We start from the raw sequence: 13,874 nt of genomic DNA on the forward strand, positions 1-13,874 counted from the left end.
CTTCCCTTAATGCTAGTCATAAAAATGAAGAAAGTTGCTTTCCTTGTGGTGTAGTTCAATAGTCAAAATTTGTACCCTCTCAATTTAAATTTATAATTGTTATTTAATCCTAAAAACTTATCTATGGTTACAAAATTGAGGAATACTGCATCACCACTAAGAATATTTTTGATTATCATCATTAGTACCATTGTCATTATTTTCTATCTGGTGAGATGGAGGAAGTAGCACTGCATAAAATCATAAAAGGACCTCTTTATGCTTTCTATTTCTCCTAGGCAGGTATTTATTATAATAAACTGGACTTGCATATACAAACAGAAATCAACATCCTCTTAAAGATATCAATAAGAAAATCTATCATTAATCTGCTTTAGACCAATTATTCTCTATCAAATAGCATGTGAGCAATGCTGTGTTTTCATCACTTAGATTTTTTCATAGTCTGGGTTGGATCCTGTTCTAATCTTGCACAGTTAGAAGTTTTAATGGTTTCCTTATTATTGGTGCCATACATCTTTTCTCTTTTTCTTACTACCCTCCTTTAAAATAAAAAGTTACATCTGTTTATGATATTTATTGATATATAGGCACACATTTATATATAAATATATTATGAGAAATAAAAATAGTTAAACTATCCATGTGGCATAAAATTTAGAAGATACAAAAGGATATTTATTAGAAAATAAGTCTATTTTTCTCCTTGCTCACCAGGCATCCAGATTCCCAGAAACTGTCATAAGTTTCTTGGATAATTTTTTTTAAAACTTTCAATGCATTTGCAAGCATAAATGTGTATGTAGTTATAGGTGAGTTTATACATTTTTAATACTCTCAGGCATTACACAGTTTTCAGTAATGTGTATGTGTGTGTAATCATAGACACAGATTTTAGAGATGATTCCCTAAAACAATCTAAAGATTTGTCTCATTATTTTTAAAGTTGGCACAGCATTCCAATGTAACTATAACCTCAGTATTTTAAAGTGCTTTCATTTGTCTCATGATTCTTGCCCTAAATCCAGTCTTTCTTAAATTAAGACTATGATTATTTTGTTTGCCCTATCTTTATAGAGGATCTCCCTCCAAATTGAATAAACTAATAGTTGTATTTTTATTCTTAGATTTAAGGATTTACTGAGCATAAACTTTCATGTTGTTGAATATATTGTTGGTTGTCTACCCAATGGCCATCCCCTACCCCTTTTATTTCCTTTGTCTCATGATAGAAGCAGAAAATTCTGGCTACTCCTCTCTAGATTCCTGTAGGGCAGAAGTTAGCTATGTGAGCAAGCAAGTCCCAGTAAAAAGAATGTCTTCCAGGAAAGTTCTGGGAAGCACTGTTTTCAAAGCTAAATGAAATGGTGTGCATGAGGAAATCCATGATGATCTTATTTCTTTGAAAGATGCATGTGAATGAAATGCTTGGAACTACCTTGCATCCTTGATGTGACAAGGCTGCAGATAGCATGATAAGGGTGTCTGTGTGAAAAGAGGAACAAAGTTCTCTTTGAGTCACAATTCCACATTCATTTATCTCCAGATTTCTTGTTATGTGTGAAAAATAAACTTTATATGACTTTTAGTTGGACATTTTGTTACTAGCAAAGACATTTGAACTGACAATGTCTCTAACATACTGCTAAGCACTGTGCATATGCTCTTTGTATCTGTTTAAGATAGACACCATATTTTTCTGTATTACTCTTGCAGTTGTTTACTTGTTGAGTGTTGTTGTCTATTTTTTTGTTGTTGTTGTTGCTATCAAGGAATACCTGAATCTGGGTAATATATTTTTAAAAAGTGGCTTATTTGGCTTATAGTTCTGCAAGCTGTATAAAATACATGGCACCAGCCTCTGCTTGATTTCTGGTGAGGGCCTCAGGCTGCTTCCACTCATGGTAGAAGGCAAAGTGGAGCTGGCTGTGCAGAGATCACATGGTAAGAGAGGAAGCAAGCGAGATGGGGTTAGGTGCCAGACTCCTTTCAACAAACAGCTCTCTAGAGAGCACTTAGAGAACTAATAGCGGGAGAATGCACTCACCTCCAACAAGAAAGGGCATTAATCAATCTGTCACTGAGAGATCCAGTTCCATGACTCACACACCTCCCATTAGGCCTCACCTCCAATTTTGGGAATTAAATTTCAACATGAGATTCGGAGGGAATAAACATCTAAAGTATAGCATTACCTAACAGACATTTTTACTGGAATCTTGTGTTAAAAGTTACTTTGGTTATGATCGCTTATAACCATTAGTGAATAATATCTGTCTTTATACTCTGTGATAAAATAAAGATAATAGCTATTAGCAGAACTACTGATGACTTTTTAATAACAGACTTTAAAATTCAAAAAATATTTATGAATAGGAGTAAAATATTGCTACATAAAATTTCATTCTCCCTAATTCTCTTTATCTTGGCAAAAAGGCTGATTTCCTTTGTGAAATGAAAATGCCTAAGAAGCATAAAAGACCATAATGACATGGCTTTTTAAAATTGTGTTTTATGATACTAATGCATTAAGTGCAAGATAAGCTGCATTTATGGGGTTTCTTTTAGTATTTTGGAGAGACAATACTCATTAAAGGTCAATAACATTGCTTGTTTTTTAAAATAATAGAATGTATTTTATGTCAGTCTTTTTCTTAAGAAATGGAATGAAGATATTAAGAAAAAATGTGATTTCAGTAAAAGTATATCTGACTTCTGTCTCCTGAATACCTATAGACTTTGGAAGGGATACCGAGCAGTGATTTGGCCAGAAGTTCTGGCTAGGTACTCTCCAGCATGATGATATAAAACAGGAAGTGCTGACATGGCAAACCCCAGACAAGTCTTTTGGAAAAAGAAGAGTCAAGTCTCAGCCACAAAAATCAGCACATAGCATAAGGGCAGGGGCATCTGGATTTCTCCAAGAAGCCATGGCCAACCTCAGACAAGATTTGAATGGGGTATAGGTCAGAAACAAGAAAGTATGTCCTGGATGTTTACTGTGAATAATTCTATCTGCAGGCGCGTAGATGGCAAATGAACATGCTAGAGTGCAATAACAAAACACAGTCTAAGCAAAAAGGAATTCTGCATTCAGAAATTGACTTACGAAAGGATCATGCTTTATGGATAATTCTTCAGACCCTCACTTTATTCTGTTCTCTGAAATGGTAGAGATAAACAGTGAAACAAAGCAAAATACAAGGAAATATATACCATATCTTATAATAAAAGTCAAAGTGAATAGCTACTCTACAAGATCCACTTCATGAGGAGCTGGATGGTAGCCTCTCCATCTAGAAAGAGGTCAGATGTAAACAACAAGGATTGTTGGATAAAAGTGCCATTGAATAATTTTAAAGGAAGAATTAGATGGGACTAATGCAGTCACTTCGTATTTGTTTGATAGTCATGAAGCTGTAAAATTCACTGAGAAAGAATGCACAAACATTCTATTGCAGTTAATTATGTAGCAGTACTATGAAAATAACTATTAAATTTTAGAGTCATAAATATTTTTACTGCTACAATTAGACAGTGGAAAAGAATTGTTACTATTCACTGGCATTCTTCAAAGTTAATCTCCATGATTCTGTTTTATAATGCATTTATGACAGCATAATCTCATCTCCACTATGTAAATTGAGTTGGATCTTATTTTCTTCTTTCATTTGCGGCACATTTTGCTGGTGGTGGCTGGATGAATGTTTAGGGGAAAGATGGTTTTGTTGCCCTCCAGCCCTTGAATGTCTGGTATAGCACAATCAGGGAATCGGTGTCACATTAAAGCAATTCTTATAATATAATCAAAGTTCTCGTGTTGTACTCTCCTTCAGATGAAACAAACTAATGAAATATATTGACCCTGTTCACGCACTTCTGAAGCAAAATGACTAAGAGGTATCGAGACGACATGAAATACATTGACATTGATTGTGAAGTCGGCATTTCCCAGTCACATTGGGGGCTGATTAAAGTGTCACATTGACAACGTAGCCCCTTTTGAACAGGAAATTAATACCAGCTTGGTGGCAAAAAGATTCTTCTTCCAAAAGGAAACTTGCATCGTCTTTAATGCTTCTTAGTAGAAAAAAAAAAAAAAAAAGAGGTCACATATTTTACACTAGCGTGGCCTTCAGTTTTCTTGTTATGAAATAATAATCAGGAATGTCAACACTGTAGTTACGTTAAAAAAAATAGGATGCTGGCCTGTTGCGGTGGCTCATGCCTGTAATCCCAGCACTTTGGGAGGCTGAGGCAGGCAGATTGCTTGAGGTCAGGAGTTCGAGACCAGTCTGGCCAATATGGTGAAACCCCATCTCTACTAAAAATAATAAAAAATTAGTCGTGCCTGATGGCGTGTGCCTGTAATCCCAGCTACCCGGGAGGATGAGGCAGGGGAATTGCTTGAACCAGGGAGGTGCAGGTTGCAGTGAGCCGAGATCGCACCACTGCACTCCAGCCTGGGTGACAGAGCAAGACTCTGTCTCAAAAAAAAAAAAAATTAGGATGCCTATTGTGTTTAATGTTTATTTTGGTTATGAATAATACTAACAAATGAAGAGACAAAATAGAAATTTTTGAATCTTTCACTAACTCATTTGAGTGGGAATTTAGTTTAAATGCTAAAAGATTAAAACATGAATATTATGTAAATATGTAAGCTTTATTTCTTATATATAGGATAAGAAAAGAACATACGTAATAATTCTTAAATTCTGGTTGTTTGATGTTGTAGCCACACATTTAATTTCATTGGCAGTAAATTTCTGTTTGTAGAAGCTACCACTTACCACTGTTCTAGAATTCATAATGTAAAAGAATCTCCAAGATAAAGATCAAAGTGTGGACACACCTGATTTGCTAAGCGCTAACATCCTGTTCCCCCTTGTCGGGGGGAAGGAAATTATTACTCTAAGTTTCAGGTTTTCCATTGCTTCATTAATTTCCCTTCCACCCTTGTTTAATAATTCACTCAGTAGATAATACAATGTTGGCATACCTTACCTTAGTAGATGAGTAACTGTTGGTTGTGTACGAGAGGCATTTTGCTAGGTGCTCTCTGGCAGAAGTCGTATGGGAGGGATGAGACAGATGAAAAAGGTGGGATGAGGAGGCGTGTGACTAGGGCTGTCTTTCTGAAAGTCCAGCCATGGTAAAATCAAAAAGTAGGCATGCAGGCCTGAGCTCCTGTTGCCTGAATCAGAACCCAGATTCAGCATTGTTCCTACATTATTTACCTTCCCCTTTGCTGACCTTTTGTCGCCGTCACTACTGTGCTACAAAAATTGGATGGCAGTTTCCATCTGTGGTTGTTCTCTTCTCTTGCCCTTTCCCGCAAAATGGCCTCTGGTTATAATTTGATAGTTTTTGTCACTGCGTGTAATAACGAAGAGAGTAAGTATTAGGAATCAATATTTCAGTCCACCCCCAGCCCCATTACAATTGCTCTCCACTTTGAGTAGATTTTATTTGGACCTCCCTGCTTCTCTTCTTACTAATTTGCTTTAAAAGCTCACTGTCTAGCTGATAAAAATGCCTGCTCTACTTCTAAATGCACACACATAAGCACAGAGAGCTGTTTTCTTCATCTGCTAATTTGTAATACTAGAGAGAAAATGAAAAATGATAAAAAAGAAAAAAACTCAAAGGAAATACAGCTTCTTATTCTAGTTATGCCTTCAATACTTCCAGCCTTCAGAATTTAGATTCCACTAACACATAAGTTCAGGCTTCCCAGTATGAGTTGAGAGAATATAGTTTGTTTTTTTTTTTAAAGTGCAGTACAGCTGCTGTGAGGAGTGATACTAAAATATTCTGATAGTTATCCTTAGCTCTGACAGTTAAAACAAAATTTATTGTTGAGTTTCAGGAGTTCTCTATATGCTCTGAATATTAATCTATTTTCTGATGTGTGAACTGCAAATATTATTATCTCCCATTCTGTGGCTTGCCTGTTTACTCTGTTGATATTGTCTTTTGATGTATAATTTTTAAAAGTTTTCATGAAGTTCAATCTGTCTATTTTTTTCTTTGGTTGCCTGCACTTTTGGTGTCATAGCCAAGATCTCATTGTTAAATCTAATGACATGAAGCTTTCCCCCTGTGTTTTCTTCTAAGTCTTTTATAATTTAGCTCTTAGGAGCTAAATTAGGCTGTGGATCTGTTTTGTGGACAAAGGACTTGATTAGTTGTTTCTCCAAACATATACAAACAGCCAGTGAAGATACAAAAAGATGCTCAAAAACCACTAATCATGGGGGAATGCAAATCAAAACTATAAGATCCTACTTCATATACATTAGGATTGCTATCATAAAAAACACATAAAATAACAAGAGTTTCTGAGAACATGGAGAACTTGCAACCCTTATGCAATGCTGTTGGGAATGAACAATGGTACAGCTGGGATGGAAAGCAGTATGGTGGTTTCTCAAAACATTTAAATTAGAATTACCACATGATCCCTAATTTTCACCCCATAACCAAAAGTATTAAAATCAGGGACACTATATTTGTACCACTGTGTTCATAGCAGCATTATTAGCAATAGCTGAAGGTAGAAGCAACCCAGGTGTCTGTCAGAAGATGAATAGATAAACAAAATGTGATCGTAGATAAAGTGGAATATTATACAGCCATAAAAAAGAAGGAAATTCTGACACATGCTACAATGTAGATGAAGCTCGAAGACATTGGGAAAAGTTAAATAAGCCAGGGACAAATGTGGATGATAGCACCAAATGAAGTATTTGGAGTAAAGTCAGAAAGAGAAAGCAGAAGGGTGGTAGCTAGGAACTAGGGGAAACGTAATAAGAATTTATTGCTTAGTGGGTACAGAGATTCAGTTTTGTGAATGCACTTCATGCCATTGAGCTGTGTACTTAAAAATGATTAAAATGGTGAATTTTGTGTAACGTGTCTTTTAACACAATTTTAGAAATAAGCTGCAATTTAGATTTTGACGAATTCTAGGGCAGGAGAAAGGTTAGCTCTTTGGTTAATTAATCAATCAATAAATTCATTCTGTACTCATTATTTATATTACTAGATACGCTAAATATAAAGAATTTAAAGTGTGAGATAAAATTGCTGTGCTCTGGGTCTTATACTCTGAAGAAGAATCAAGTAAAGAAGCAGTTACTAAATATAAAATTTGAAGATTATGGTATATACACTCCAGAGGCCCCTGTAAAAGATGATCTGTTGATATAATAGAAATCCTATCTTAATTTATTTTTAATATAATTTTTATATATAACTCATATATCATGTAATTCACCCATTCAATGTGTAATATTTTCAGTATATTCAGAGTTAAGCAACCATCACCACACTCAATTTTAGAACATTTTCACACCAAAAAGACATTTTCTACTCATTTGCAGCTGCTGTTCATTTTCCTTAACCCTACCTCCGTCCCTGGCACAGACATAGGTAACCTCCAAACAACTTTCTGCCTCTATCTACTTTCTATTTCTTTAGATTTGCTTATACTGGACATTTCACATAAATGAACTCATCCTGTATATGGTCTTTTGTGACCAGCATCTTCTACTTCGCATATTTTTAAGTTTTATCCACATTGTAACATGCATGTGTACTTTATTCCTTTTATTGCTAAATAATATTCTATTGAAAATACTACATTGGATTTATTCATTCATCAGTTGATGATCATTTGGACTTTTTCCCACTTTTTGGCTATTACTAATAATATCTCTATACACATTCATGTATAAGGCTTTTCGTATGGACATATGGTGTCAATTCTCTTATGTGTGTACTTAGGAATGATAACTGTATGCTTATCCTTTGAAGAACTGCCAGATTATATTCCAAGTGGCCTCATCATTTTACATTTCTACCAGCAAAGGATGAGGGTTCCAATTCTCTATATCTTTGATAGTACTTGCAGTTACCTGTCTTTTTTATTATTGTCATCCTAATGGGTATGAAGTGGCATCACATTGTGGTTTTGATTCGCATTTCCCTCTGATTCATTTTCATGAATCCTTTAACATTTATTTTCTTGTGGAACTTTTTAATTAAACAGAATGCTTTGACGTAGTAATACATGTGTGTTTTAGGTGTATGTGTTTGTGTGATAAAGATGCATAATCAAAACTCTTCATTGATGTGTTGTATGATTAAAAATTTGGAGAATGAGAAACTAAGCAGTGAGCGTTCAATATTAAGGAAACTGAGAGTATGGTGAAAATAGCAATAAAAGAGTTCCTAGAGGAAGTTATTCTGGGTGGATATGTACCTGTCAGGCAGTGGAGGAAGACAAGGAAACATTACAGGATAAATGGGTAACATTTAAAAATATCAACAGAAATGTGAGATAATTTGTCAGCCTTGGTGAATTTCAAATATTCTGAAATTACTTGGAAGTGCACAATGCGCTGTAGGGAGTGATAATGTGTGATTCTGCAAGGGAAAGCGGGACCTGTGTGTGAGAGTTCATTCATGTTCTGCTCTCCTCACGTGCAAAAGGGAGGCTGAAGATATTGAGGCTGAGAATGACACTATTTTATTAAAAATTATCCCCACAACTGTTTCGAAAATAATAAATGATGGTTAGTCCAAAGGCAGAGTTATCAATTCAGATGAGAAATAATTAGGACTCAAACAATGTTAGTGCTTTATTATTACTTAGGTTTTAAGTTCTCCTCCATTAAAAATCTTCATCTTGACCTTTGTTGATTTCTAAGCCATTTCTCACTTGTTTTACTATATTACTTGTAATAGGTTTTATTATTAATTTCTACATAAATATGTATCTTTTTGAAAAGTATGTTGTAATTGAAACATCAGAACTTTCCACAGTACTTATTTACAGATAAGGGATGGGGAGTTAATGGGTGGGCACCAGGGAGCCTATATATTTCCTAACATTGTATGCAAATGTGTTTATTTTTTATTTATTTATTTTTTGAGATGAAGTCTCACTTTGTCACCCAGGCTGGAGTGCAGTGGCATGATCTTGGCTCACTGCAACCAGGTTCAAGCAATTCTCCTGCCTCAGCCTCCCATGTAGCTGGGACTACAGGGGTGCGCCACCACATCCGCTAATTTTTGTAGTTTTAGTAGAGATAGGGTTTCACTACGTTGACCAGGCTGGTCTTGAACTTCTGATCTGAGGTGATACACCCATCTTGGCTTCCCAAAGTGTTGGAATTACAGGCGTGAGCCACCACGCCTAGCCACAAATGTATTTATTTTGTGTGTGGACTCGGATGCTTTTCTGAGCAAAGGGCTCATAATTTCTCTTTAGCTCTCAGAGGGATCCTTCATCACTGATAAGGATGAAAGAGCTTCACTGCCCTCATACAAATTAAGAAAAAGGGGCCCAGATTTAGACTGGAGGTAAGAATGCTGAGCACTGCTCTGTCATTTCAAAGGAGTTTATAATGTTCTCATTCTTCAGAAACTTTAAGAAAAGAACAGCTACCACCACCCATGTTCTAATTTACAATGTGTACCAATTAGCAAGATACTGAATTAAGAAATATGGGGTTTTCAACTTGCTATCTGGACTTCTATGTTGACTTTGCATAAAGTGATTAAATCTGATGCTCTCGCATGGACTCCTGGGGCTCCCTTATTGTGAAATGGACAAGCACCATAAGGATTGGCAGAGAAGTGGGATGGGAGGTGGATAAAGGATACTGGGTTCCTGTAAAACAGCAAACATCTGGGCATAGAAGGACTTCTCATTATTATATATAATGGCAGATAGTGGCTTTATAGGTTGCAGATAAAATACAACAAAATATTAGGAAGTCACAGAGATAATGCTCTTTTTTTTCCTGATGAGAATGAAATAAAGAAAAGGCATTTTTACATTTGTTGTGATAGATACTTCTTTGTATTACACTTGTAAAATATAATTTCTATCTAGGATTTTCCTTTCTGGAATGGGGTATGGGGAGGACAGGCAGATCCGTAATTTCTTAGAGGAAAATTTTCAATGAATGTTTGTTTCTTTAAGACATAATCATTGCCTTTCACTATAACACGAGTTAATTCAGTGGTCAAAGGCAATATTTGTAAAATATTTATTTTACCATGTAATGCCAAACCATTGGTCTGGTATTACAGTCATTGATCCAGATGGCTGAATTTGCCATATGGTTTCTTACTACTTACAACATTCCTGGAAAGGTGGCTATTTCATCCAAATGAGCCTTCAACTACTGCAGTGTCCAAGTTTCATGCAAGGGGCCTGCTACCATTACCTGATAGCTCTTGGAAGCAATGCTCAAATCAACAGATCTTTTGTAGTTCTCTTTAATGGAGCCTGGATGATGAATTTACATCTATCTATCAGAAACATTGTCTTCTGCCCTACATTACTAATGACAGAAAATTGTCTCTATATAATTCATCAAAGTATGTCTATAGACTCACTCCTTTATTATCTTTTCTCTTGCAAACTGTATAATTCCCCCTTCATTCCACGTCAGGGGAGACCTTTAATCTTGCTTGGGTGCATTCTGTAGGGCTTTCTACATTAAAGAGACTGAACAGGTGCCACTGGAGGCAACAAGAATGGGAGCAAACCACGATGAGGACGGTCCTAGGGTAGTGACTTAGTAAATGGCTAGACAGAAAACATTTTCTAAGAGATCACAGCCTCAGGAAAAGGAGTTTTAAATGTTTATTTGACAAAAAATAACTTATTCATATTTACATATCTCTTTACTTTTCCTGCAGAATGGTCACCCTATAATATTGATTTACCCTTGAAGAACATTTGCAATTTGATGTATCCCTGACACACATACTTTAATTCTTTGTCCTCTTTAATAACAGAGACTAAAATGAGTGAAATTCTGATAACCTAATCATGGTATTTCTATTTCAGTGTCATAATGGGATCCTTCAAAATGACTGACAATATTATATGATTCACAAACCTAAGCCTTTGATGTCTCAATGCTTTTTCTATTCCTGTCTTAGATTTTGCTCCAGTGATGTATGGTGGGGAGGTAGGACTGAAGTGAACTCTTTTCCCAAGGGCAGATGTTCCATTGGAAAATGTGTTAGAAATAATGACTTAATATAGAGAAATACAGTGAAAGGACAAAATCAAAAACTTTTAGGTAAAATAAAAGCACAGAGATTTTAAATATGGATTTAAGATCCTACAGTATGAGTTGAATACATGATGGGAAGTTTTACTCCTCGGTCTGGTATACGCTTCTGGTATATACATGAAGACCAGACTCAACATGAGTAGAGATTTTCTGACAAGGGTATAGTAGATCTGCTTTTAGCTTTGAAAAACAGTAATGAAATAAATTGTCTGAAGAATAATTGAGAAAAAGATGAGAACTATAACAGAGACTGGCTTACATTTCTCTTTATCTTCCCAACATGCAATGAAGTGCTGGACACAAAGTAGCTGTTCAATAAATTGTGCCAGGATTGAGAGGGGATGATGCAAGTTAGTGGGCTTTTCTGATTTTACTTTTTTTAATTTATAGATCAACTCTACCCTAAGCTCTGGAGTCATACAGTAGAGAGTGCCAATCCTAACTGCCCATTAACTATCTCTAAAATGCAACCAAAACGAGATTTCCCAGGATTCTTTTCCCTGTGTAGACCTGTATTAGAGATGGTCTTAAGAGATTTTGTTTCTTTTTTTTTTTATCTTCAGTGAAGTTGAGGCTGTTAAGCCCCAAAGATGTAAGATTGTTTTTTTTTAATTGTTTTGCATTGCAATTGATATTTTTAATTGATAAATAAAAATTGTATATATTTATGATATACAGCATGGTGTTTATATATATATATATATATATACACACACACACACACATACATACACACATTGTGATATGGCTAAATCAAGCAAATTAACATATACATTACCTCACATACTTAATCTTGTGTGTGTGTAGTGAGAACATTTAAAATCTATTCTCCTAGCAATTTTCAAGAATACAACGTATTGTTATTAACTACACTCACCATGATGTCATGATGTAAGTAGATCCTTTAAACTTAATGCTCCTAACTGAAATTTTGCCTTATTTGACTAACATGCCCCTAACCCCCCAGCCCACAGCCTCTTGTAACCACTTAAGAATTCTCTTAAGAGATTTTTGTATGAGATTTGGGTTGTGAAGTATCTGCTGCCATTGCACATTTCATTTAAAGTAAGGATAATGGGATTTGATTGACTTTCTAAGTGTAGTAGAGAATTTGAAGACCCACAGAGTCTACATTTATGAAAACTAACTGAAAGTCTATTTCTGTGGGTAACTTAATTATATTTGATATAGATTTCACAACCATGCAAAATCATATGAACTTTGGACACGAATTGAGAAGGAATGAGACCCTGAAACTTAAGATAGGGTCATATGGACAGGTTCCAATGAAGGTGAGGTCCGTGAATGTCTAAAGTCTGCCAATTTTTCTTTCCAATATAAGCAATATTTCCTCTCCTCAGTAGATCATTCTCCCTTCCTTGAAAAACCTATAGCTGGCTCCTTCCTGGTAGCTTTCTTGAAGGGGAGTACTAAACTCCTCAGCATCTAACTCAATCTCCTCTCATTCCTTCTGGACCTATAACCAGAGAAGTGTTGTCAGAGAACAACAAAATTGCATGATTTTCCAATTTATATTGAAATACCCTGGGATATATGAGTAGAAATGGATTCTAGGGAGGTTGCTTATGAGTTAAAAAAATAATGTCAGATCTAGTCAATTTATAGATAAGGTTGCACTAAACAGAGTGACTAAAGTGTTTAACAGTTTGCTTGCTTGGATGGTTGAAATATGGAACTATATGTGGACTGAATGAAATTGAAATACCAGCAAATTTATTCTGTGAGACCTGCTTACTAATCCCCTATGTCCTCCAAAAGAGGCTAGAGAAGCTTTTCTTCATGAAAGCTTTGAGAAATACATTTGTGAGCAGAGTGACAGCATCCTTAAAGAGCTCTCTGGTGGCTATTCCCTGCAGGCCAAAAACAAGAGTGACAAACAGGGTTCCTAGAATTCAACAAAGATGATGGAAACTTAAGGTTGCAGGGCTTAAGTGAAAGTACTTAATCACCAGAGACAAGATGTATGCGGTGACCAAAAGGGACAGCAGAGCCATCGTAGTAATCAAAAGGATTCGACCCTCAGAGATCTTTGGTATTGGCTGATTGATCAAGGCATTCTTATAAATTAAATAGTTGTGCATCGCTCTACTGTTTTACTTTATGCTTATAAGTAGAAAATCTCCATGTCTGATGAAAAGAAGTATGAATGAATCACCCACTTAAGAGACATGGCATTTCCACAAAATCCTCAGACATGAACCAGTTCACAGTCCCAGTGTAAAATTGCATAAAGGTAGGGGACAAGGGAATCAAGTACTCTTTAGGAAGGATCTGACTACACTACCAAAAAGGTATAGCATAATCCTTTCTCCCAGCATTCTCCGGAGGTACCTGAACCTCTTTACCAGGGTGAAGTCCACCAACAAGGGGTAAATAACCAGACTTTTCAGGGGTTGCTGGGCACTGAGCTGATACTAATTACAGAGACCCCAAAACACCACCATTGGTATGGGTGCTTATTGAGGTTGGGAGATCAGTGGAGTTTTGGCTTCTGTTCTTCTCACAGTGAGCTCAGTAGGACCATGGCTTCATGCTGGGGTTACTCCCCAGTTTCAGAAACCATAGTTAAAATAGGCATACTTAGAAACTAGAAAAATTTCTATATTGGGTCCCTGATCTTTGGAGTGAAGTTTATTATGATAGGAAGAGGAAAGTGGAAGGCATTAAAGCTGCCTTTAGCTACCATGGTATTAAGCAGAAATAGACATTTCTGGAGTGATTACAGAGATTCCTGACATGACCAAGAAT

The 13,874-nt window shown here is 35.9% G+C and overlaps 2 long non-coding RNA genes across 5 annotated transcripts in view; one reads left to right on the forward strand and one right to left on the reverse strand.

Moving 5' to 3' along the window:
- Positions 1-4,787, reverse strand: part of LOC105371006 (uncharacterized) — a 47,150-nt gene extending 42,363 nt beyond the window's left edge. Inside the window, exons 1-2 of the long non-coding RNA NR_188334.1 lie at positions 4,702-4,787; positions 3,110-3,162 (exon numbers count right to left, since the gene is read on the reverse strand). This is a non-coding gene — a long non-coding RNA (uncharacterized LOC105371006). The remainder of the gene's footprint in view (positions 1-3,109; positions 3,163-4,701) is intronic.
- LINC02253 (long intergenic non-protein coding RNA 2253) overlaps positions 1-13,874 on the forward strand; it is a 197,799-nt gene that overhangs the window by 80,243 nt on the left and 103,682 nt on the right. The gene's annotated exons all lie outside the window — the stretch shown is intronic.

The sequence above is a fragment of the Homo sapiens genome, chromosome 15 (genome assembly GCF_000001405.40).
Source record: "Homo sapiens chromosome 15, GRCh38.p14 Primary Assembly".
Lineage (NCBI taxonomy): Eukaryota > Metazoa > Chordata > Mammalia > Primates > Hominidae > Homo > Homo sapiens.